Below are 25213 nucleotides of genomic sequence, written 5' to 3' on the forward strand. Positions count from 1 at the left end.
TTGTCTACTTGTGACTGGGCTTCAACCAATTGCTGCCTCACTGGCTGGTACCAGGTGTGTCCTGAGGGGCCTGGTTGGGGTTCCCTGTTCTTCACACTTTCTTGGTGGAGTAAGGCACATAAAGACACAGGCTTTGGGCTATGGCAACTAGAATCAGTGAATCCCTAGCCATGTCTGACTCCTATCTTGACTGACAGTTGCAGGGAGAGAGGATGATAAAGGAAAAGTGAAGACAAAGAATGGGAGGAAAAATGAAAAGCTGAGATGGAAATTATTAGGATAATTTGACAAATAATTTATACTACAACTCATATTACTTTGTAAGAGTTCAGGGTATTTAAAAATAAATGGAATATATTTTCAAATTTTATATATTATTTATATTATTTTTATATATTATTTATATATATATTTAACAACTCTACTGGTTGTTAAATGTTTTGATTATTACCCCTGCATAGATTTCTACAATTTCAAGCTGAAAAAGATCTTAGACATCTCTAATACAATAATGATATTTAAAAGAGGAAAGAGACTTTCACCACTGTTTTTTTAACATACTACTAGAAGTCCTAGCTAAAGCAATCAGATAAGAGAAAGAAATGAAGGGCATCTAAATTGGAAAGAAAGAAGTCAAATTATCCTTATTTGCAGATGACATAATCTTATATTTGGAAAAACCTAAAGACTCCACCAAAAAACTATCAGAACTGATAAATTCAGTAAAATTGTAGGATACAAAATCAACACACAAGAAGCAGTAGCATTTCTATATGCCAACAGTGAATAATCTGAAAAAGAAATCAAGAAAGTAATCCCATTTACAATAGCTACAAGTAAAATAAGATAGACCTAGAAATAACCAAAGACATGAAAGATCTCTATAATAAAAACTATAAAACAGGCCGGGAGCAGTGGCTCACACCTGTAATCCCAGTACTTCGGGAGGCTGAGGCAGGTGGATCACCTGAGGTCAGGAGCTTGAGACCAGCCTGGCTAACATGGTGAAACCCCATCTCTACTAAAAATGCAAAAATTAGCTGGGCATGGTGGCACACCCCAGTAATCCCAGCTGAGGTGGGAGAATTGCTTGAACTCAGGAGGCGGAGGCTGTAGTGAGCCGAGATCACGCCATTGCACTCTAGCCTGGTAGCCTGGGCAACAGAACAAGACCTCATCTCAAAAAAAAAATAAAATAAAATAAAATAAAATAAAATAAAATATTGATGCAAGAAATTGAAGAGGACACCAAAAAGTGTAAAGATATTCTATGTTCATGGATTAGAATAATCAATATTGTTAAAATGTCCATATAACCCAAAGCAATCTACAGATTCAATGTAATCCCTATCAAAATGCCAATGACATTCTTCACAGAAATAGAAAAAAAAAATCTTAACATTTATGTGGGATCACAAAAAGACTCAGAATAGTCAAAACTATCCTAAGCAAAAAGAACAAAACTGGAGGAATCACATTACCTGACTTCAAATTATGCTACAGAGCTATAGTAACCAAAAGACAGTACTGGCATAAAAACAGACACAAACCAATGGAAGAGAATAGAGAAACCAGAAACAAATCCATATATCTACAGTGAACTCATTTTTGCCAAAAGTGCCAAGAATATACACTGAGGAAAAGACAGTCTTTTTAACAAGTGGTGCTAAGAAAATTGGACATCTACATGCAGAAGAAATGAGACCCCTATCTCTCACCATCTACAAAAATCAAATCAAAATGGATTAAAGACTTGAATCTAAGACCTCAAACTATAAAACTACTACACAAAAACATTAGGGGCACTCTCCAGGACATTGGTATGGGCAAAAATTTATTGAGTAATATCCCACAAGCACAGGCAACCAAAACAAAAATGAACAAATGGGATAATATCAAGTTTAAAACTTTCTGCACAGCAAAGGAAACAATCAACAAAGTAAAGAGACAACCCACAGAATGGGAGAAAATATTTGCAAACTACCCATCTGGCAAAGGATTCATAACCAGAATATATAAGGAGCTTAAACAAATCTATAGGAAAAAAAATCCAATAATCTGATTTTAAAACAGGCAAAAGATCTGAATAGGCATTTCTCAAAAGAAGACATACAAATGGTAGTCAGTCATATGAAAAGGTGCTCAACATCACTGATCATCAGAGAAATGCAAATCAAAACTACAATGAGATATCATCTCACCCCAGTTAAAATGGCTTTTATCCAAAGGACAGGCAATAACAAATGCTGGTGAGGATGTGGAGAAAAGGGAACCCTCGTACACTGTTGGTGGGAATGTAAATTAGTACAAGCACTATGGGGAACAGTTCGGAAGTTCCTCAAAAAACTAAAAATACAGCTACCATATGATCCAAAAATCCTACTGCTGAGTATATAATCCCAAATAAAGGAAATCAGTATGTTGAAGAGATATCTGCACTTCTATGTTTGTTGCAGCACTATTCACAATGGCCAAGATTTGGAAGCAAACTAAGTGACCATCAACAGATGAATGGATAAAGAAAATGTGGTACTTATACAAAATGGAGCACTATTCAGCCATAAAAAAGAATGATATCTGTCATTTGTAACAACATAGATGGAACTGGAGGTCATTATGCTAACTGAAATAAGCTGAGCAGAAAAACAAACATTGGATGTTCTCACTTATTTATGGGATGTAAAAATCAAAACAATTGAACTCATGGAGACAGAAAGTAGAAGGATGGTTGCTAGAGGCTGGGAAGGGTAGTAGGAGGGTATGGGGGAGGTAGGGATGGTTAATGAGTACAAAAAAATAGAATGAATGAGACCTAGTATTTGATAGCATAACAGGGTGACTTCAGTCAATAATGTAATTGTACATTAAAAAATAACTACAAGAGTATAATTGGATTGTTGTAACACAGAGGATAAATGCTGGGGGGATGGATATACCATTTTAGATGATGTGATTGTTATGCACTGCAGCCTGTATCAAAACATCTCATGAATATATACACCTACTACGTATCCACAAAAATTAAAAATTGAAAGAAAAGACCAGCCTGGACTACATGGCGAAACCCCGTCTCTACAAAAAGTACAAAAATTAACCAGGCGTGGTGGCGCGTACCTGTAGTCCCAGCTACTCGGGCACTCAGGTGGGAGAATCACTTGAGCCCAGGAGGTCAAGGCTGCAGTGAGCCATGACTGCACTACTGCACTCCACCCTGGGCAACAGAGCAAGACCCTGCCTCAAAAAAAAAAAATAAATAAAGGAAAAATGTATTTCAAAGAAAAAAATAAATAAAAGAGAAAAGTGAAGCCCAGAAAAGTTAAATAGATTAACAAAGGTTATAAACTGTTTAATGTTACAGCTGAGGTCAGATCTCAGATTTTCTCATTTCTACATCTGTGATCTTACAAGCACTTGTACACGTATTCAAAAAATGTGCTTTATTTCTTTGTCCTTGAATTACATTACATGAAATTCTGTTCCTGCAACCAGGTTCTCAACATTATGTCCTAGGTGAACTAATACCAAAATTAGTGTGCATTCCCTAAGCTCACACTAGCTAGAGAATTACTAGGGGTAGTCGCAGTCTTCAGTCTTAGGGGTAGGAGAGGGTGAAGGCAGAAGAAAAAGAGAAACTCATCTAAGATTAGAAAAAGCTGTAGATTATACACGATCTACAGTTCACAATTCAGTGTACGTGTAATTGGTAAACTACTGTATTGTTTATATTAATACTAGTAACTAACAAATTAAGGAAAACAAACAAATATCTGATCATAATATATAGAAAAGAGCTCAGTTTATCTTTAAATATCAAAGTAAAAAATAGCACTTAATGAAGTGCTAAATATTTACTAAACAGATATATTAATGCAAATTCTGGCTCTATCACACACTTATGATAGAAAATATTTTGTATATTTTTCCACATTTTGTATATATTTTTCATATTTGTAAAAACTAGTTTCTAAACAACGAATAGTTTCAGAGCTCATAGGTATCCATTTATTCCATCACTTTTTCAAGGTACTAAATTATTGTTTTGGTGTTTCTGAAAACAATTAAAGGGTAGACTCATAGTACTAAAATTTACACCAATCTTATAGATTACAGTCAAAATTTGTACACCCAAGATCTGTAAACAAATATGTGTACCACTTACCTGCTTTAAAGCCAAGTTGCCAATTATTAGGTTCCACTTTTCAATGGGTGAATCCATCTTCCCAATATTTACCTGTTAAAGTGGATATTTTCATGTATCACTGAAGAAAATCTACATGTTCTCTGCTGTGTTCAAACAGCACATGAAATCTTAAAGCCCAAAATAATTCTTCAGTAAATCCAATGAGCTCACATTGTACTTTGAAAATAATTCTGAATTCACTACCAGTCTTTCAGCTAACGCTAGGCTTGACTAACATGTTTAGAGAAAAAAAATTTTTTTTACTTACCTGTCTTACAAGAACTAGTGGACCCATTAGTATTACCCACTTACTCACTGATGTTATCTTACAACTAGCATCATCAGATATTATCTTAGCATGCCAAATTTTGTGTATTGAGGTCCAAGGTAAATAATTACATAACTTTGATCCACTAGCAGTTAATTCCACATTATAAAACTAATGTAACTTAAAGAATTATTGACCCAAAAACAAGATATAATCATTCACATGTATACAATTTATATTTGAGTCACGACTAAAACTGTTAGCAATAAAATTCATTGTTTACAAATTAATTTTGATCATGTACCGCAACTATTAAATTTTACACATCTTTCTGCTAAATGGAAGAACACTCTCCAAAATAATATTATCACCCACATACTCAATTGTTCTGTGAGCTAATTCATATTTCTCAACCACTTAGAATTCAAAAAGTGTATTTCCAAATCTGCCAAGTTTTTCTAAAGTAGTTGTTTGGAAAGCAACGAACAATCATTTAGTAAAAATACTGAGTTGCATTTCAATTACTCATCATCTGCTTTGCTATGAAAGACTTTCTTTCAAATGATCTATAGATAAGTTGATAAAGAGGAAGGTAAGTAAGGGTTGTTATTCATGGGTAGTTTTAACCAGGTACAGTCTAGAATTTAGGTCACTGGCTTTAGACAAGCAGGTTAAGTGCTATATAAACATTTCCTCTATCAATCTGGAAAACAGATTCTATTCTGTAATCTCACTGTGGACTTTAGTCTCAAAGCATCCAGCAAATGCAAATATTGAGATTTCTCAGTATTTCAGAATAATTATTAATGCAGTCTTTATTTACATATTTCTTTACTAAGCCTGGGAATCTAAATCATTGGTGAAATTCATGTTTGTAGTTCTAACAACCTGGGGCTTTGCTCAAGTGAGTAATAAGGTACAAGCAATGTTTACAGAGTGAACCTACCTCAGGTTTAGAGTTCAAGAAATAGGAATGAGTGAAATTAGTGTTATTTTTTAATAACTCTTAGAAAGATGTCTATATCTGTAGGAAGCAATCTAAAATGATTCAATGAAAAAGTATAAGACATCAAGACTCCAGGGTTGCTTAATAACAAATGGAAACATACATACATTCGGGTCTAGGAAAAGATCAAGAAAGGTAGGAGTTAAAGAATGAGTGAGTGCTATGAATTGGATTTGCAACTGTGCCACGTTAATTTGGCACTATCACCACCAGTCCCTTCTAAGGCTTGGAGCTACATTCCCCAAAATCCCCTCCCCTATAGCTTCAGGTGACAGTCTACCAGTGAGAAGAACTTGCATAAGATTTGGAAGTCACCAGTGAAGCAAAGACTATTATTTTTGGAAGGTGATCAGACACGCAGGTGTCCAGACTTCCTCGCTGTAATGCATGCATGGCTTTCTTTCCTGCTCCAGGGCTTCAGGTGGCTTCACTGAGTTTCCTACCACAGATCGTCATTTCTCCAACTTCTCCTACAGTCATGTAACCCCAAACTTCTCTATTAAATTCCCTATTGATTCAATACATACCATGGCTCTGTTTTCCTGACCAAACCCAGAGTGACACTTTTCTTTTTTCTTTTTTTTTTTTTTTTTTTGAGACAGAGTCTTACTCCGTCACCCAGGCTGGAGTACAGTGGCATGATCTTGGCTCACTGCAACCTCCACCTCCCAGGTTCAAGCAATTCTCCTGCCTCAGCCTCCCAAGTAGCTGTGATTACAGGTGCCCACCACCATGCCCAGCTAATCTGTGTATTTTAGTAGAAACAGGGTTTCCCCATGTTGGCCAGGCTGGTCTTGAACTCCTGGCCCCAAGTGATTTGCCTGTCTTGGCCTCCCAAAGTGCTGGGATTATAGGAGTGAGCCACCACACCCAGTGTCACTTTTCAATTAATCAGTTTCTTTTTTTTTTCATGATCTCTAGGGTGGTACTAATCAATTAATTTGTTTTATAAATGATGAAGATCACTTTCTCTGAGACCCTTTCTAATCTAGAAGTCTCTGAATCTTTACTCTTCTTAGTCTAAGATAAAACAATAAATAACAAATTAAAACAATGTATGACATAAAATAAAAAATAAAATGTAGACTATATTTATAAACAATAACTTTTTTTATAAAGCAAAGATTTTCAGGAGTAAGAATTTTTTTAAAAAGTAAAGAGAAATGTTGCCCCAAATTTACCTTGTTAGGGAAAATATGTATAGTATAGGCTTGCATTGGCATGTGGATAGAGGTATGGCAGGACACAGAAAATTGATTTTGTTGCCTCCATCTTGTAAAAACTACATCAACAGTTGTGCTGACCCATCCTACTGTCCAGTGGTTTAGGGTTAATATGAGCCATCTAAGTTTTTTCTAAAGTGGAGAGGGAGAAGTATGAGTGTTCTGTGTAAAGGCCTTTGCTAGACCTACTTTTATTAGATTAGCTGACCTGATGGTGCCCAGCTAGACAAACCAAGAGCTTAGAAGGTGATAAAATATAATAGGGCATGATCTAGTAAAGACTTCTGTGTAACCCAGTTTTATTTAAATTATGTATATCTTAAAGTATTAGAAAAATAGGCCATTATTTTTGCAGAGACATCAACTAATTTTTTAGGAAAGAGTAGAGCTGAGGTGGCCAGAGCCTGAAGATGTGTTATGTTTGGCCAACACAGTGGTTTTAAAATTTTTGAATCTGAATGCCTTTAGGTGGAATCTGCCATCTCTAGTTTTTATAATCCCAAAAGCCTTCTTCTGCATAAACAGACGTTACTTATCTGACACTGAGACATATTAGTTATAAGCAAGACTTAGGATTTATTGGAGCTAAATATAAAAGTGGTCTTGGATGACCTTGAAATTATAGATTTATAAATATAGCCACTACAATTAATACTAGAAAAAAATATGTTTAATGAATAAATACTTGAAACAAAGGTACTGAAAGTCTCCATTCATGCATTATTTTAAAAAACATGTATTAACTATATGTGCAAAAAAAAAAAAAACTATATGTACATTTTTTTAAAAACCAGAAAGTTACCATTGTTACTTCCAAGTGTTAGGTGTATGGATAATTTTTAATTTTTACTTTGTCCTTTAGTGATTTTTTCAAATTTTTACCACTGAACATGTAGTGCCAGTATAATCATTTTATCTAAAAACAGATATTTGCAAAAGAAATATCTAATAAAGGGCTGCTATCCAAAATACTCAAAGAACTCTTAAAACTCAACAATAACAAACAATCCAACTTAAAAAGTGGGTCAAAGACGTTAACAGACACCTCACCAAAGAAGACATACAAATGGCAAATAAGCATTTGAAAAGATGCTCCACATCATATATCAGAGAAATGCAAATTAAGACAAGATAGCACTACACACCTATTAAAATAGCCAAAAGCCAGAACACTGACAATACCAAATGCTGGTAACAATGTAGAGCAACAGGAACTCTCATTCATTGCTGGTGTAAAGGCCTTTGCTAGGCCTACTGTTACTAGATTAGTTGACCTGATGGTGGGAATGCAAAATGGTACTCTTCACTCGAGAACTTCCATTTAATTCTTTTTTTTTATAGTTACTAGTTCTCTTTTAAGGCTCCCTATCTGATCACTCATTAAAACATATTTGTCTTTATTTGAACATGTTTTCCTTTAGTTCTTTGAACATATTCATACTAGTGGCTTTAAAGACTTTATTCAATCTAATATCTGGGCCCAATTAGAATCATTTTTTATTAACTGAATATTAATCATACATTTCTTGAATATCAATCACACTTTTCAGTTTCTTTCCACATCTAGTGATTTTGGGTTAAAAACCAGACAGTGTAGATAACATGTTGTAGTGACTCTGGATACTGTTATGCTCTTGTGATGATAACTGAGCTTTCATTCTAATAGGCAGTTAACTTGACTAGACTCAAACTAGGCTTTTGTCTCTCCCATAGAGTGAAGCACCTCATCTCTCTGCTTGGTTCTTGCAGCTACCAACAAATGCCTTTTAGTATAGCCCTTTGAAGGTCTCTTCTGTACCTGTGCAGTTTAAACAAACTACACAACCAAAGATTTGAGCACAATTTATGCTCAGATTTCAGGGCTCACTCTCTGTGCAATTCTCTTGCGTATGAGATTTCTTTATAAGTTTCCATATGCTCTATCAGCTCCCAACTCTGTCATCTGATAATCCAAGCCACTAAAACTTCAACTTTCTGCCACTATAGCTATGCATAGGTCACAGAAGACACTCAGTCAACAAACACAGAAATCTTAACCAGTGTATTTGCTTTTCAAGTGTAGGCCCCTCTCACATTTCTGCCTACTTTTTTGTTGTTTTTGTTGTTGTTGTTGTGGCTGTTGTTGTTGTTACCAGACTCATTTAGGTTATTCCTATGTAAATGCACTTTAGTACTTGGTCACAGATTTCACCAGATCTTATACTTAGATTTTGGATCTCCCCTTTTCTGTACTTCTAGAATCTCCTCCCTTAATTCTCAGCCACTCTGCCAGCTCTGAACTCTGCTTTGAGCTAATAAGACTATCAGTTTTCTGCCATATGAGATCCAGGGATAGGGGAATTCCCTCAGGCGAAAACATCACAAACTTTGCAATTCTTACTCATTGTAGTATGGTCTTTTAAAGGTAAACCCTACTTTCTACCTGCTTCTGATCACTTTTCATTGCCTTCAAATAGTTTTCCAGATTTTATAATTGTTAATCTCTGGAGGCTTCATCCAACCATTTCATTCTGCCATTAATTAGAATTAGAAACACTGTTACATATTTTCATGTGCTTGAAATATTTTATAACAAAACATTGTACACAAAACACACACACAAATAGCTGTCTGAATGTACAGAGATGATATATATGTTTGTTTTCTTGATTATGATGGTAGTTTTTACAGGTATATATTATATATCTAAACTCAGCAAATTGTAGACTTTGAAGTTGCAGTTTATCGTATGTCAGTAAAGCTGCAGAAATGGGGAGGAAAACCTAATTGATTAAAAACCTAGTTGACTATAACAGTTTTCGATTATACATAAGTAGTTCTACTCCACAAAGCTATGGCTAGGGACTGATGTTTATAACTTAAGAAAGACACTTTAAAGTGAGGAACTAACAGGAATATGCAGTTCCATTTGTATCTAGCAATCAGGTGTATAACAAGAACATGGAGAATTATGCCAAATTTAGGAAATAATACTGAGATTGTAATTATATCTAAATTGTGCCATAGTTATTAATATAATTATCTAGGTTTTAATTTGACTTTATTTTAGAACTTTTAGAATCTGAATTGGAAATCTAACTTAAAGTTACTAGGGAAAGACATTTTGCCAACTTCTTCATATCCCTCCACTGAAATGTAAGCTCAGCAAAGGCAGAAACATTTTCTGTTTTGTTCGTTACTGATCTCCTGGCACACACAGCAGTGCTTGGCATAGAGTAAGGGCTCAAAAATATTTTTGCAATTAATGAATGAGAAAGGTAGAGTGTTGCTAAATAATTCAGATAGTCAATTAAGTGTTCTCTGAGAAGAGGTTTGAGGCAATAGAAATCAGTTTTGCCTACAGTAGAAAAGGACTAATCAAATCATGCTAGGTGATTTGCTCCTGGGAAATAGTTTTACAAACTTTTTTTTTTTCAAATACTGTTTTTAGGGCAGTGAACATAATTTTTGACTCCTTTATACCTAACATTAAAAAGCAGAAAATTTTAGACCTCAAACAATAGAAAAACTCAACAATTTATAGAATCACTGTACTTGATTCATTTTCCAATTATACACTACTATTACATACCTATAATATCTACTATAATTTCATATATACTATTGAAAAGATTAAAATCCAGGAAAAAAATTATTCAAGTTAATCATCATAACTTTAGAAACAAGTTTTGACTCAAGTAAGATGGCAAGATAAAGTTGATTTGGATACATCATTTTTTAATTCCCTTGTAAAAATAGGAAACCTATTTTTATTTATTTATTTATTTATTTAAAGACAGGGTCAGTCTCACTCTGTTGCCCAGGCTGGAGTGCAGTGGCCCCATCTCAGTTCACTGCAACCACCTCCTCCCAGGCTCAAGCAATCCTCCTGCCTCAGCCTCCCAAGTAGCTAAGACCGCAGGTATGTGCCACCAAGCCCAGCTAATTTTTTTATTTTTTGTAGGGATGAGATTTCACCACATTCCCCAGTCTGGAAACCTATTTTATTGAAATATCTTTTTATCTGTGAACGTTTGGTCTTTAGGTTTATAGAATAACAAGCTTTAAAAACAAATGACCTTCCACAGATTGAATGAGTAGACTGTATCTTATGATATCTTATGTTTTAAGTTCTTTATCTTTATACTTATCAAAGGTCTTCCTTATAATCTTATACGCTCATTTATCCTGATTCTCCCTCAGATAATCATAAAAATGAGAAAGGACCCTTGAGTGGAGCAAAAAGATTAAAGTAACCATTGATTGGCCTTCTATAGCTATAATTATTTTTCTCCTAATTTTACAAGTGAAAACAAATACTACATAAAAAATGTAAAATGTTTAAAAGCATTATTGTTTTTGCACATAAATGAAAAAAAAACAGCTTTCAAATAGTGACTGCTTTAAGTTAAAAAGAGACCATACTAATTCACCCTTCTCCCTGGAACCATTGAGTACAGTTAGAAATCTGCTTCAGTAGTCCCAATTACAAACAACAGGCAAATAAATCAAGGTGGTGACAGGTGGGGCATAAGGAAAAAGAAAGAGGAATTTCATAGGCAGAACTGATAGACTGGACAGTAACTGGATAGAGAGTGAAGAGGGACAAGGTGATTGGTAATGTTAATAAACTGATAGGAAATACAGAAAAAAGAGTATAGCTGGAAATAAGAGAAACTAATGAGTTTAGTTTAGAATGTATTGAGTGGTATCCAAAAGGCAACTGAAAATTCAGCTCTCAAAGTCAGGAAAGAGTCTGGAGGTACAGATCTGAGAACAGCAATGTGCAAGCAGTGCTGGACTACACGAAATTACTGAGGAAGAACATGTTGAACAAGGTACTAAAATTTCAAGAAAACCTCAAATTTAGAGGATGAGCAAAGAAAAACAAAAGACATAGACTAACAAGCAGCGGTGAAAGACGTGGGAGAATGAGAAGACAGTGGGGTCTCAAAGCCAAGGGCTATAAAGTTTTCAACTAGAAAATAATCAGTGAAGAGTCCAGAGAAGATGAGGCTTTCAGATTTTGCCATCAAGAAGTCATTAACTTAGAGTTTCTTAACAGCCCGTAGAGTATCAGAACTGAAATAAACCCAAAACTTCTCTAGCATTCTGTAAGAACTATAGTTTTCTACCCAGCAAACTTGAGATCTAGTTCTCTAAGCAATAAAAATGCCGTAAACTAGAAGAATATACCATGTTATCATAACTTGGCACTACAAGTTGCTACTTTCCCATCTACTAATTTGCTTGCTTTTACTCCTCTCAGATCCAGAAAGAATTTTTAGTGATGGCTCCTAGTGTTTAATTTCAGTTAATCCATCAATCAATTCTGTTGATTCTCTCTGAAAATTAATTCTGGACTCCAACCACCTCTCACTGCATTCCCTGTTACCATCTTGAATATTATCTCTAAGCTATTATTGCAACAGACTCCCTGCTTCAATCCTTAGCCCCCTATACCCATATCTCAATGCAGTAGTCAAAATAATCTGTTAAAAAATATCTATCAGATCACATTAACTCCTCTGTTTAAAACCTTCCATTGGTTTCTTATCTCACAAACTAGGCAAATCCGTACATAATCTGGCCTCTGGCTCATCCCCTAAAATTGTCCCCCCTCACTCACTCGGTCCCAGCCCTATTGGCCTCCATGCTCTTTATCTAACACAGTGGTTTTCAAACTTCAATGTGTATCAGAATCATCTGGAGAGTGTGTTAAAATTTAGATTGCTGAGCCACACCACTGGAGTTTCTAATTTAGTAGTTTTGGAGTGGGGCTGAGAATTTGTATTTCTAACAAGTTGCTGATGCTGCTGATCAGAAGAGCACACTTTGAGAACTACTGATCTAACATACCAACAACAGTCCTGCCTCTGGCCCTTTGCATTGCCTAGGGCATTCCTATCACAAATGGCCTCAACACTTCTTATTTACGTTTTCTTATTTCCTTATAATGTTTTCTTATTTCCTTGACTGAACTATCTTCTTATCAGTAGCACAGCTCTCAACCAATGGAAGCTGGCAGCTCTACCCCTACCTCTCTAAAGAAATACTAAGTTAGATCACCCTGCAGCAGAGTAGAGACCACAGATGGCAAGCTTCTCCCCTGTGCTGGGCTTGTAATCAGCTCCTGAGACTCCTTCTCTTAAATATGGACACATACATATAACCAGACATTTGAGAAAAATACCTAGTGTAAAATATAGACACCACAACAAATTAACGAAGGTTAAAAAAAGATTAAATTCACCTTCATTCAGGTTTAACGGTAGTATGTGATCAAATTAAACAGCAAATATCATTTGCAGCATTTTGTTTTTTAACCAGATTCCCTACAGCATGGCCTATTTCAAAACAGACTGGTGTTTTAAATCTATTATTATTCTGGATAATGCTCAAGAACAATACTTTTGAAATATTTTCTTTGAGATAAGCTAGCCAAAACTTCACTTTTCCTGCCAAAGTTATCAAGTTGCTTAAATTCTTGTATGCTTAACTATGTTTATCAGAGCAAAGTTCAATTTCCAACAAATGAAACTAAAGGCACCTTTTAACTCCCATTCAAATAACTTTCTTCTTCAAATGTTGCCACTTTTGTTTCTCAAGGCCTCTTCATTCTCTTCTCCCGCCAAAAAGCCTCTCGGATTGAGTTCTATCTACCTAGGTAATTCACCAGTTCTTATAACATAATACAAGTAGGAAAAGATGAAACACATGCATATAATTTCACTAATTCTCAAAATCTCAGTAAGACTGTGTCTGGAATTGGTGGGTTCTTGGTCTCACTGACTTCAAGAATGAAGCCGCGGACCCTCGCAGTGAGTGTTACAGCTCTTAAAGTGGCGCGTCTGGAGTCTGTCCCTTCTGATGTTCAGATGTGTTCGGAGTTTCTTCCTTCTGGTGGGTTCGTGGTCTCGCTGGCTCAGGAGTGAAGCTGCAGACCTTCGCGATGAGTGTTAACAGCTCTTAAGGCATCGCGTCTGGAGTTGTTCGTTCCTCCTGGTGGGCTCGTGGTCTCGCTGGGCTCAGGAGTGAAGCTGCAGATCTTCGCGGTGAGTGTTACAGCTCATAAAAGCAGCGTGGACCCAAAGAGTGAGCAGTAGCAAGATTTATTGCAAAGAACAAAAGACCAAAGCTTCCACACTGTGGAAGGGGACCCAAGCGGGTTACCAATGCTGGCTCGGGTAGCCTGCTTTTATTCTCTTATCTGGCCCCACCCACAACCTGCTGATTGGTAGAGCCGAGTGGCCTGTTTTGTCAGGGCACTGATTGGTGCGTTTACAATCCCTGAGCTAGATACAAAGGTTCTCCACGTCCCCATCAGATTAGTTAGATACAGAGTTTCCACACACAGGTTCTCCAAGGCCCCACCAGAGCAGCTAGATACAGAGTGTCGATTGGTGCACTCACAAACCTTGAGCTAAACACAGGGTGCTGATTGGTGTGTTTACAAACCTTGAGCTAGATACAGAATGCCAATTGGTGTATTTACAATCCTTGAGCTAGACATAAAGGTTCTCCACGTCCTCACCAGAGCAGCTAGATACGGAGTGTCGATTGGTGCACTCCCAAACCTTGAGCTAAACACAGGGTGCTGATTGGTGTATTTACAATCCCTGAGCTAGATATAAAGACTCTCCACGTCCCCACCAGACTCAGGAGCCCAGCTGGCTTCACCTAGTGGATCCCGCACCGGGGCTGCAGGTGGAGCTGCCTGCCAGTCCTGCACCCTGTGCTCGCATTCCTCAGCCCTTGGATGGTCGATGGGACTGGGCGCCGTGGAGCAGGGGGTGGCGCTCATCGGGGAGGCTCGGGCCGCACAGGAGCCCATGGAGTGGGTGGGAGGCTCAGGCATGGCAGGCTGCAGGTCCTGAGCCCTGCCCCGTGGGAAGGCAGCTAAGGCCCGGCGAGAAATCGAGCGCAGCGCCGGTGGGCCAGCATTGCTGGGGGACTCAGTACACCCTCCGCAGCCACTGGCCCGGGTGCTAAGTCCCCCATTGCCCGGGGACAGCAGGGCTGGCTGGCTGCTCCGAGTGCGGGGCCCACCAAGCCCACGCCCACCCGGAACTCCAGCTGGCCCGCAAGCGCCGCACACAGCCCCGGTTCCCGCTCGTGCCTCTCCCTCCACATCTCCCTGCAAGCTGAGGGAGTGGGCTCCGGCCTTGGCCAGCCCAGAAAGGGGCTCCCACAGTGCAGTGGGGGGACTGAAGGGCTCCTCTAATGCCACCAAAGTGGGAGCCCAGGCAGGGGAGGTGCCGAGAGCAAGCGAGGGCTCTGAGGACTGCCAGCACGCTGTCACCTCTCAAGACTACATAAAAGTTTTTTTGTTTTTTCTTCTTAAAGATAAAAGCTAGAGATATACTTGACACACATTGCAGCTGTATGCCAAATGGTCAAGTGTTGAAATCAACATTCAGCTGACACCAAATGTCACCATTATATAAGGAAATACTGGGATACAGGAACCAATATAAATCTTAGACTATATGCTCCAGATACCTGAGACCAAGGTATCTCAAGTTAGTGTTCCTGAAGGCAGACCATGCCACCATTAGGTGCCAATGAACCCCAGGAACGCCAAGGGGTGGGTGTTTGTTGGAGGTGTAGATGGAGCTTGGACATGGGGCCTGGTGTATGTGTGAGGTCTTTCAAAATGCAGTACCTATTACCAAAGGTGGGAAGGGAATTGGGGCAGGCCTCAGACCAGGGGGTGGCTCAGTGGCTCTCTCTACAACACCATGTTCCAAAACAGAACCCAAGAAGTCCAAAAATTCTAAATCTGATCTTGGACTTCCAGGTATTCCTAAGGATATATTTGTCAAGGTACACAGAAAGAGAAAATATTTAAGTGTGTAAGTTTGTTGTATAATTTTAAACTATGTAGACATATGTTATATAGGTCTCCATTTGTATTGCTACCCCAAGCCTAGCTGTTAAATGCTTAAAAAGCATTTAAAATGCTTTTAACGACGAACGCATTTAACATGCTTAAAAAGCATGTTAAAAGCCCAGCTGTCTAGAATGCTTATAAATATTTGACATTGTTACATTTATTAAATACAATAGTAACCTGGATTGATTTTTCCTCAGATTCCGATATGGCTGACTCACCTTTACTACTCAGGTTCCAGCTTACATATACCTCCTCAGAGAAGTCTTTCCTGACCACGTTGTGTAAAATAGCCCTCAGGAATCATCCATCATCACATTATCCTGTTTGATTTTCTTTACTTCCCTTACCGATATCCAAATTTATGCAAATTCCATCACAGCAGAGACCTTGCCTGCCTTGTTATTCATGTATAGACTAATGGATTCTTATTTTTTTCCATGGGTTATATATAATCTGTAACTGTCATTATCTATTGTATGGCTCCAATTTTCCAAGATCTGGCCAGTATGTCACTCGTTATCCTTTTGTCATGTCCCCATCTTTTTTTTTTTTTTTTCATTTTTAGCACTTCTTTACTTTCTGGCACCACAAGATATTCGAGATTCATTGTATACTTTTCTGCTTCAGCCCAAGGAGCTCCTATTATTTTTTCAGTCCTTTTAATGTTCAATAATTACAATGGCTACATACTATAGACTAAAGTGAATTTACTAAAGTAATTCTACTCCATGAGTTTGGCTCTACCTAAGTGGCTGACTGATACCCCCAAACATCATCTATAGTTTACCAACTAACTACATGGAAAAGCATTATATCTGTAAATAATAATGTTTGAAATAACATTTAAATATTTTAAATATTAAGTACCAAAAGTATTGGTGCTAAGACCAAGACCTTAGCAGATCATTCTTACAAAGTACATGGGGAAGCTATTAGGTTTTTGTTACTGCTGTTATTTATTGGTTTTATAAATTCTGACAGAGTTACCCTGTGCAGGTAAAAGGAACATTCTGGAATGTGACTTATTCCACTATATGTAGAGCTGTGTGCCCTCAGGAAAGTTACTCAACTGCTCTAAGCCTCAATTCCTACTCTGCAAAGCAGGATAATAGTGCTTATTCCATAGGGTTGGTATAAGATATCACTGGAAAGCAGTTAGCAAAGGACCTGGCATATAATAAGAGCTCACTAATACCAGATATTTCATTATTGTCCTCTGCAGATATAGCTATATGACCTTTTATATACTATATAAGGAAGGAACTTACAAAGCTCTGTAGGGTACATGAGCCATTTTCCCTTAATTAAGCAAACCAGGCCAGGCACAGTGGCTCACGCCTGTAATCCCAGCACTTTGGGTGGCAGAGGCAGGCGGATCACCTGAGGTCAGGAGTTCGAGACCAGCCTGGCCAACATGGTGAAACCCCGTCTCTACTAAAACTACAAAAATTAACTGGGCATGGTGGTGCATGACTGTAATCCCAGCTACTTGGGAGGCTGAGGCAGGAGAATTGCTTGAACCCAGGAGGCAGAGGCTGCAGTGAGCTGAGATCACGCCACTGTACTCCAGTCTGGGCAACAACAAGATTCCGTCTCAAAAAAAATAAAAAATTAAGCAAACTAGTAATGTTAATAAAACATTATTTTATGCATTTTCTTTCCAAGCATCTGCTTTACTCAAGAAACTTTAGGAAACTGGCAGTTGCCTGGGTGGAAAAGGGGGAGAGGAGAAGTGGGACAGAGGGTGGAGAGTCCTCCCATCAACAGCACAGTTGTTCAGTTCCCATTTCTTGATTACCTTTAGATACATAAATTTTTTCCTAATTGATACATGGATCAACTCTATCTTGCTTTATCTTCTTTAAAGGAAAAAAACTTTATATACTAAAGGAATTTCAGTTAGTAATATCATCTGGTGACTTAGTTAAGTTTTGGCTAGCATTTCACAGGCAGATAGCTCATTGAAGTGAACCTCACTAGCTACGTGGTTTTAACCATAACTTGGTTCCACAATGGCAAACCCCAAAATCATATTATAATAAGATAACAATGTCCTTTTGAGCTTCTGAAAATAACTCAGAACTCTGCTACTGGCAGTATTTTTTAAAATGTTTATGCTTTTCGAATGACAATTTTGCAATATGTAGCTAAAGACTTAAAAGTACAGATTTCTTTTTTCTGAATAGTAATTACAATCCTAGAACAGGCCCTAAAAAAATAAGAATGGAAAAATGTATGTACAAGAATATTCATCACAACATTGTTCATAATAGAAGAATGTTAGAAGGAGTTTAAACATCCAATAATAGATGATGAAGTAAACTGTAGTAGAGCTATACAACAGAAAAGTACATATTCAATAACGACACAGATCTACATTTACTGATATGGAAAGATGATCATGATGTATTTTTAAATGGAGATCACAGATTATAAATGAGAATATATAGAATTCTAGTTCTTTTTTAGAATACACAGTATGCATTTACATTATGATATACCTAACTATATATAAGCATAGATATGCAGGTATAGAAGGATCTGTACCAAAATATTAGTAGAGGTTATATCTAAGTGGATAATTAGGGGTAGCTTTAGATTTTCTTTTTTATATTGTTCCCTTTTCTGTAGTTTTTATAATAAGAATGTATTACTTCTACAATTACAGAAAGTTTAAATACCAATCAACCAACCATCGAACCACAAAGAATCTCAATATCTGATTTACCCCATGCCTTAAGCATTGATGATAAATGCCAGAATGTCCTGGCATCAAAGGAGGCAAGTAACTACTTCCTGGGATAAAAGAGGGCCTATAATTATCAGATGAGACAATATTTCAGAATATGATATCAGGCATAACTACTTAGCACAGCCCTGAAGTGCAGAAGCATATCAGAGAAAGAAATATTTTCCTGATACAAGTTCCCCTTAACAGAGAGAAACAGGATAGGTAATACACATAATTTGAGGTAGGAAAAAACTTACTGCAGTGGATAATCTGGATGCCAATGTCATTTCCAAGTTCCCTTTGAGACCAAGAAGTGCAGGGACTAAAATGAAAACTTCTGTAACTTTTCTGAACACCTCCCAGTGCTGTAAGAAAAAAAATAAAATAAAATTTTCTGGCACTCTTTAAAAAATACTTTAGAACAAAGACATTTCTAAAAATCTCAGCCTTTTTCCCAACTTGGCATCTACATTTTGAATAACCACACAGTTCATGTAATCAGCGAGCACTTAGCTTAACTCCATTCTCCTGAGCTCTGAAGCTCTGAGTCACTTTAAAAGATGCTGTTAGAGTTGGGGGTCAGCTGATATGTTGCTACAACCCATTCTACATCTACTTGTTACACAACCCTTATATTCCTAAAGGTTTTACTTTATCCCTTTATGATGACAATCGTTAGACTGGCTAGTGGTTAAGAGCACAGATTCTGGAATCAGACAATTGATTTGAATCTTGCTTCCAATACTAATTAAAACAAACCCACTGGAAAATTAGTGCTATTACTACCTAATTTCACAAATGAAGGAATAAAGACTCAGAGAGATTAAATTATTTCCCCAAGATCAAAAGATGGGACCTAGAGTTGACCCCAGGAGTTCTAAGTAATCCCATGTTTTAATCCCCATTTTAAGGTGTGAGGCAGAGAGGTTCATAAAAACAGCACTAAACTGGAAATAAGGTTTGTGCTTCTAGCCATGGATCTGTCATAACTTGGCTTCATGATCCTGGATGAGTCATGTATCTTTCTGATCTCAATTTCTTCATCCATTAAATGAAAATAATATCCACCCTATCTAGTCTTTGGAGAAATACCATGTATAAATGAAAAATAAACTTCTAATGTCCCCAACCAATGGAATAGACCCCCTTCTCAGCCAAGGGCATTCCAAAGTAAACCTAAAATCTAGCTTAGGCCATAATGGGAAGGGGGCGGGTCAGACATGCCTCATTATACCCTCTTCCCTTTAAAATTCAGGCATAACTGACCAACATTAACATTAAAACAGAGATCTTAAGACTGACAAAATAGACTCTTTGTAGCAATGAGATACCAAATTCCAAACAGTCTTTAGTATAGCATCACATGACAGCAGACCCTGAATGAAACTGAAGTATTTTACCCCAAAATATATTTCTTTGACATATTTTTAATGGCCCTGCAAAGCTGTCTCTTGTGGAGAAAATCTACATTCTGTAGCAAAACTTTTTCCCTTTCCAGGTCTTTTCCTGATCCAGGAGAGATTAACTAAGAGTCTGGCAACTTTTTAAGTCTGATAAGAAACATTTACCATCTATTCTCTCTGAAGCCTGCTACCTGGAGGCTTCATCTGCATAGTAAGAACCTTGGTCTCCACACCCCTTATCTTAACCCACATATTCCTTTCTATTGATTCCAGGTCTTCAAATAATTTAATTCTTTAAACCAATTGCCAATCAGAAAATCTTTGAATCCACCTATGACTTGGAAGCCCCCACTTTTAAGTTGTCCCACATTTCTGAACCAAACCAATGTATAACTTACATGTATTGATCGATGTCTGCCTGTAACTTCTGTCCCCCAAAAAATGTACAAAATCAAGCTATAACCCAACCATATTGGGCACATGTTCTCCATACCTCCTGAGGCTGTATCACAGGTCATGATCCGTAACTTTGGCAAAATAAACTTCTAAATTGAGGCCTGTCTTGGATGATTTTGGTTTACACATGATAATGAAAATAACAGATATTAAAATAACAGATATTAAAGATATATATAAAGATATTAAAGATACAAATATCTTAATAACACAAAGTGACATTTTACAAGTGCTATTAAGAGGTGATTATCCCAGTAAGATATTTTATGAGCTAGGCATATTAACTTTATATCAAAAAGTATCAAAAATATACATGTCATGAATACCAAGACAGATGAGAAAAGTAAAACTTATATCTATCAGATAAATGAAGGAAAATTTTGATTTGTTCCCAAACTTTCCCTAGGCTGTTCCAAACAGATGTAGAACTGGGGGGCCTAAAGAGACCTCAGAAAATATTTATCAGATCAGTCTTCTGTAAAATCCTGGTTCAAAGAGTTCACAAGGGAAATCCCTCTAATTGGGTTCAAGCCAATTAAGGATGGGCCTAAGAAAGCACTGGGTGGGGGGGGTTCAATGGCACCCCAGATTATTAGTCTTAAAAACTAACCAGCAAACGATTTTGTCCATGTTTTATGATGGGCTAACAATTCTGATGTGCTAATGAAATATGTATCTTTCAAAGACATTGGTAGCAATGATGATAATGATGAATAACAGATAATAATAATAACAAATATTAATAATATCTAACATTCACTGATCGTTATGTTCCAGGCACTGTTCTTTAGACTCACTCACTTAATCTTCACAACAAACCTAAGAGATAGGTATGATTTTTATCAGATCCCGGATATACTTCAGAATACCTTTTACCTAGGTCATCATTTTATGACACTTGCTGTGATACTGCGAAGCATATATTTGGTCTTCAACCCTGTTTCCTGGCATACATCTAAAATCGTTAGAATTTAGTGATACACAAAGTGATGTCTTTGTGTATGCTGATTGATGACAGCTGGCAGCCCCAGGTAGCTTCAGGATAGGGGCTGGTCACCAGAAAGACCAAGGCATTATTAGAGGACTGGGACTTTCAAACCACCCCCACCCACACAAACACCTTTGGGGAGGATGGAGGGACTGAAGGTTAAGTTGATCACCGATGACCAGGGGTTTAATAATCATGCCTACATAATGAAGCTTCATAAAAGTCCAAAAGGACTTGGTTTGGAGAGTTTCCACACAGCTGAACATTTGGAAGTTCCTGGATGAGGGAGCACACAGGGAGGGCATGAAAGCTCCGTGTCTCTGCCCCCATACCTCGCCCTACATATTTCTTCATCTGTATTCTTTGTAATAACCTTAATGAGAAACAGGTAGAGTTAAGTGTTTGCCTGAGTTCTGTGAGCAGCTTCAGCAGACCAATCAAGCCCGAAGAGGAGATCACCGGAACCCCAGCTTAAAGCCAGTTGGTCAGAAATTCTGGAGGCCAGGACTTGCATCTGGTATCTCAAGCGGAGGACAGTCTTTTGGACTGAGCCCTCAACCTGTGGGATCTGATGCTACCTCTGGATAATGTCAGAATTGAATTGGAGAACACTAATTCTGCATCAGCCAGTGTCTGCTGCAGAACTGACTGCTTGCTTGGTGTGTAGGGTAAAACCCCCACACATTTGGTCACAGAAGTCTTCTGTGTTGGTTGTTGCAACATGAAAGCATCACATGCCATCATGCTTTAGACCTGTTGGAATGCACGCCTATAGGTTACTCCCTTTGGTTATTCTTTCCACATTCAACTCAAATGAAATACTTATGGGAGAATTACTATGAAATACTTAACACCTCAGCATTGGTGTGACAACAATAAGAGCTATGAATTATTGATCTCCTATCTTGTGCCAAAAAATTCTACATTATTTTTTCCATACTAGTGAGAAATAAAAATCCAAATGCCCCAAAACCAACTGAAAGAACACTCTTACGGCCAAGAGGACAGCGTGACCTTGAAAACTGAGTTCTCGGCCAGGACAGCATGGGAGATCAACCACACCCCATTATACCCCTTTACCCTTGTTAACTGCCATTAGGCTTTCTTCCCTAAGGGCTACACAGAAATCAACCTTTTCAAAAGACTCCACTGCTGATCTTGACTGCTCCCACCCTCTTTTGTAGTTTCAGCAAAACAACTGACCAGGATTCCTTCCTGGTAAGAGACCAGTGATCACAGAGTGGTTCTGGCCAGTCTACATGGGACTCATGAAGGGGTATGAAGTTCCACTGCACATGCACGTTTCTCTTTTCACAAATACTCATGACTCCTCTTATAGCATATTAAATACGTACATTTGGCCACCCCACCCAGCATAAATTCCTATTTCCTTTTTCCCCTCCTTTGAAGTGTCTGTTTCTGGCTTCTGGCTAGAGGCGATGCTTCCCAGACTGTCAGAATGGCCACCTTGCAGGCTGCAACCCTGTATGAAATATAAAGCTCTCCTTTCCAAATTTATGTACCTCATCATTCAAAAGTTAACACCAGGTTGGGCAGCGGCTCACGCCTGTAATCCCAGCACTCTGGAAGGCCGAGGCAGATGGATCACTTGAGGTCAGGAGCTCGAGACCAGCCTGGCCAATATGGTGAAACCCCATCTCTGCAAAAATTAGCTGGCATAGTGGCAAGTGCCTGTAATCCCAGCTCCTTAGGAGGCCGAGGCAGGAGAATCGCCTGAACCCAGGAGGCAGAAGTTGCAGTGAGCTGAGACGGCGCCATTGCATTCCAGCCTGGGTGACAGGGCGAGACTCTATCTCAAAAAAAAGAAAAAAAAAAGTTAACACAACCTGATGTGCTTGCAGAAGTTCCCAAACTTTCTCAGTTCACGGCACGCTTAGTATCTGAGAAATATTTTCATAGCATCCTTAGGACAAAAAGAATACCTAACAATCCTATGTATTAAGTAGTTAGGTCCGAACAACCTAGTAAGTATTTATTTCCTAACACTTTAGTAACCATTTGAAGAACTTATACAGGTAAATTGAAAGAAAAAATAGTATTTAATGTCATTTTTTACAACCATAATTATTTACTAATGGGGTATAAGTACCTGTTTGGCACTGCATAACTTCTCAAATGTTGGAATTGGAAACTATCACCTTCATTTCCTGTTTTATATTGATTTTTGTGTGACTCTTGCTTTTTATCACAGCACTACTGAAAACCCAGTTCTGCAAAAGACATACCATCCAAAGAAATGGAGTGTGATCTAATGTTGAAATGTTAAGCCACCTTGAGCTAGTAGTCTACAGTGCATCCAGGAGACATCATTGTGTTTCCCTCAAAAACTTAAAATATCCCACAGTAACCCTGGAGTGTCTTGACACACAACTGGGAACTATGAGAAGAGTATGAAGTAGTATGCACAGGGGTCAACAGCAAGGGCTCTAGAGTCAGATCACCTTCACTGAAATTCTGACTCTACTACTTACTGTGTGATTTGGGCAAAATTATGCTTTACTTTCTGCATCTAAAATATGGACATACTTGTACCACCTCAGAAGATTCTGCTCAGGACTGTGCCTGCACATAGTAATTAACTGAGTGTTTATTAGCTGTAAGACCAGGATGCATTATCAGTTAATTTTCCTGTCAAGAGGACATAATGCAGAAAATGTCCAGAGAGGGAATGCTGAAGCAGCTAGTGCCAAAAATAATGTTCACTTACTTACAAATTTTACCATGATCCAGTATGTGCTCTGGAGCTATGAACCTGCCGTAAAGTATGACTTCTTGTCATACCTAACTTTGCACATGCATCACTGCAGAAACTGAGGTATACATCTACAAGTCAAACATAATGTCAGATTACTTACATAAATAATAGACTCAAAACCTAAAAATCTGTTTAAATCCACAAGAATAAACAAAAATGAAAATTCAAAATAATAAGTTGAAGAACACATCTATAGACTCCTAACTTTAAAATGACAGAGAACATTTTTTAATTGGTAAAAGAAGGTTATGCAGTTAAAAAAACACATACTCCAAATCCTTATATATGGAAAAAATTTTTATTGTCATTTAAACTTAGTTTGAAAATAAACCTTGGGCAGTATGGCCATTTTCACGATATTGATTCTTCCTACCCATGAGCATGGAATGTTCTTCCATTTGTTTGTATCCTCTTTTTATTTCATTGAGCAGTGGTGTGTAGTTCTCCTTGAAGAGGTCCTTCACATCCCTTATAAGTTAGATTCCTAGGTATTTTATTCTCTTTGAAGCAATTGTGAATGGGAGTTCACTCATGATTTGGCTCTCTGTTTGTCTGTTATTGGTGTATAAGAATGCTTGTGATTTTTGTACATTGATTTTGTATCCTGAGACTTTGCTGAAGTTGCTTATCAGCTTAAGGAGATTTTGGGCTGATATAATGGGGTTTTCTAGATATACAATCATGTCATCTGCAAACAGGGACAATTTGACTTCCTCTTTTCCTAATTGAATACCCTGTATTTCCTTCTCCTGCCTGATTGCCCTGGCCAGAACTTCCAACACTATGTTGAATAGGAGTGGTGAGAGAGGGCATCCCTGTCTTGTGACACTTTTCAAAGGGAATGCTTCCAGTTTTTGCCCATTCAGTATGATATTGGCTGTGGGTTTGTCATAGATAGCTCTTATTATTTTGAGATATGTCCCATCAATACCTAACTTATTGAGAGTTTTTAGCATAAGGGGTTGTTGAATTTTGTCAAAGGCCTTTTCTGCATCTATTGAGATAATCATGTGGTTTTTGTCTTTGGTTCTGTTTATATGCTGGATTACATTTATTGATTTGCGTATATTGAATCAGCCTTGCATCCCAGGGATGAAGCCCACTTGATCATGGTGGATAAGCTTTTTGATGTGCTGCTGGATTCGGTTTGCCAGTATTTTATTGAGGATTTTTGCATCAATGTTCATCAAAGATATTGATCTAAAATTCTCTTTTTTGGTTGTGTCTCTGCCCGGCTTTGGTATCAGGATGATGCTGGCCTCAGAAAATGAGTTAGGGAGGATTCCCTCTTTTTCTATTGATTGGAA

The 25213-nt window shown here is 37.7% G+C and overlaps 1 protein-coding gene across 22 annotated transcripts in view; it reads right to left on the reverse strand.

The window, feature by feature from the left end:
• Positions 1 to 25213, reverse strand: part of SLC41A2 (solute carrier family 41 member 2) — a 156946-nt gene that overhangs the window by 89314 nt on the left and 42419 nt on the right. For 20 of the 22 annotated variants that reach the window (NM_001387125.1, NM_001352169.2, XM_047429648.1 and 17 more), the window contains 2 exons: positions 18541 to 18648; positions 4160 to 4231 (listed from right to left, as the gene is read on the reverse strand). In NM_001387125.1, the coding sequence (NP_001374054.1) occupies positions 4160 to 4231; positions 18541 to 18648 (180 nt within the window). Of the gene's footprint in view, positions 1 to 4159; positions 4232 to 13206; positions 13472 to 18540; positions 18649 to 23858; positions 23975 to 25213 lie in introns of those variants that run through there. The other 2 variants (XM_017020016.3, XM_011538813.3) reach the window with 2 other exon arrangements.

The sequence above is a fragment of the Homo sapiens genome, chromosome 12, assembly GCF_000001405.40.
Source record: "Homo sapiens chromosome 12, GRCh38.p14 Primary Assembly".
NCBI lineage: Eukaryota > Metazoa > Chordata > Mammalia > Primates > Hominidae > Homo > Homo sapiens.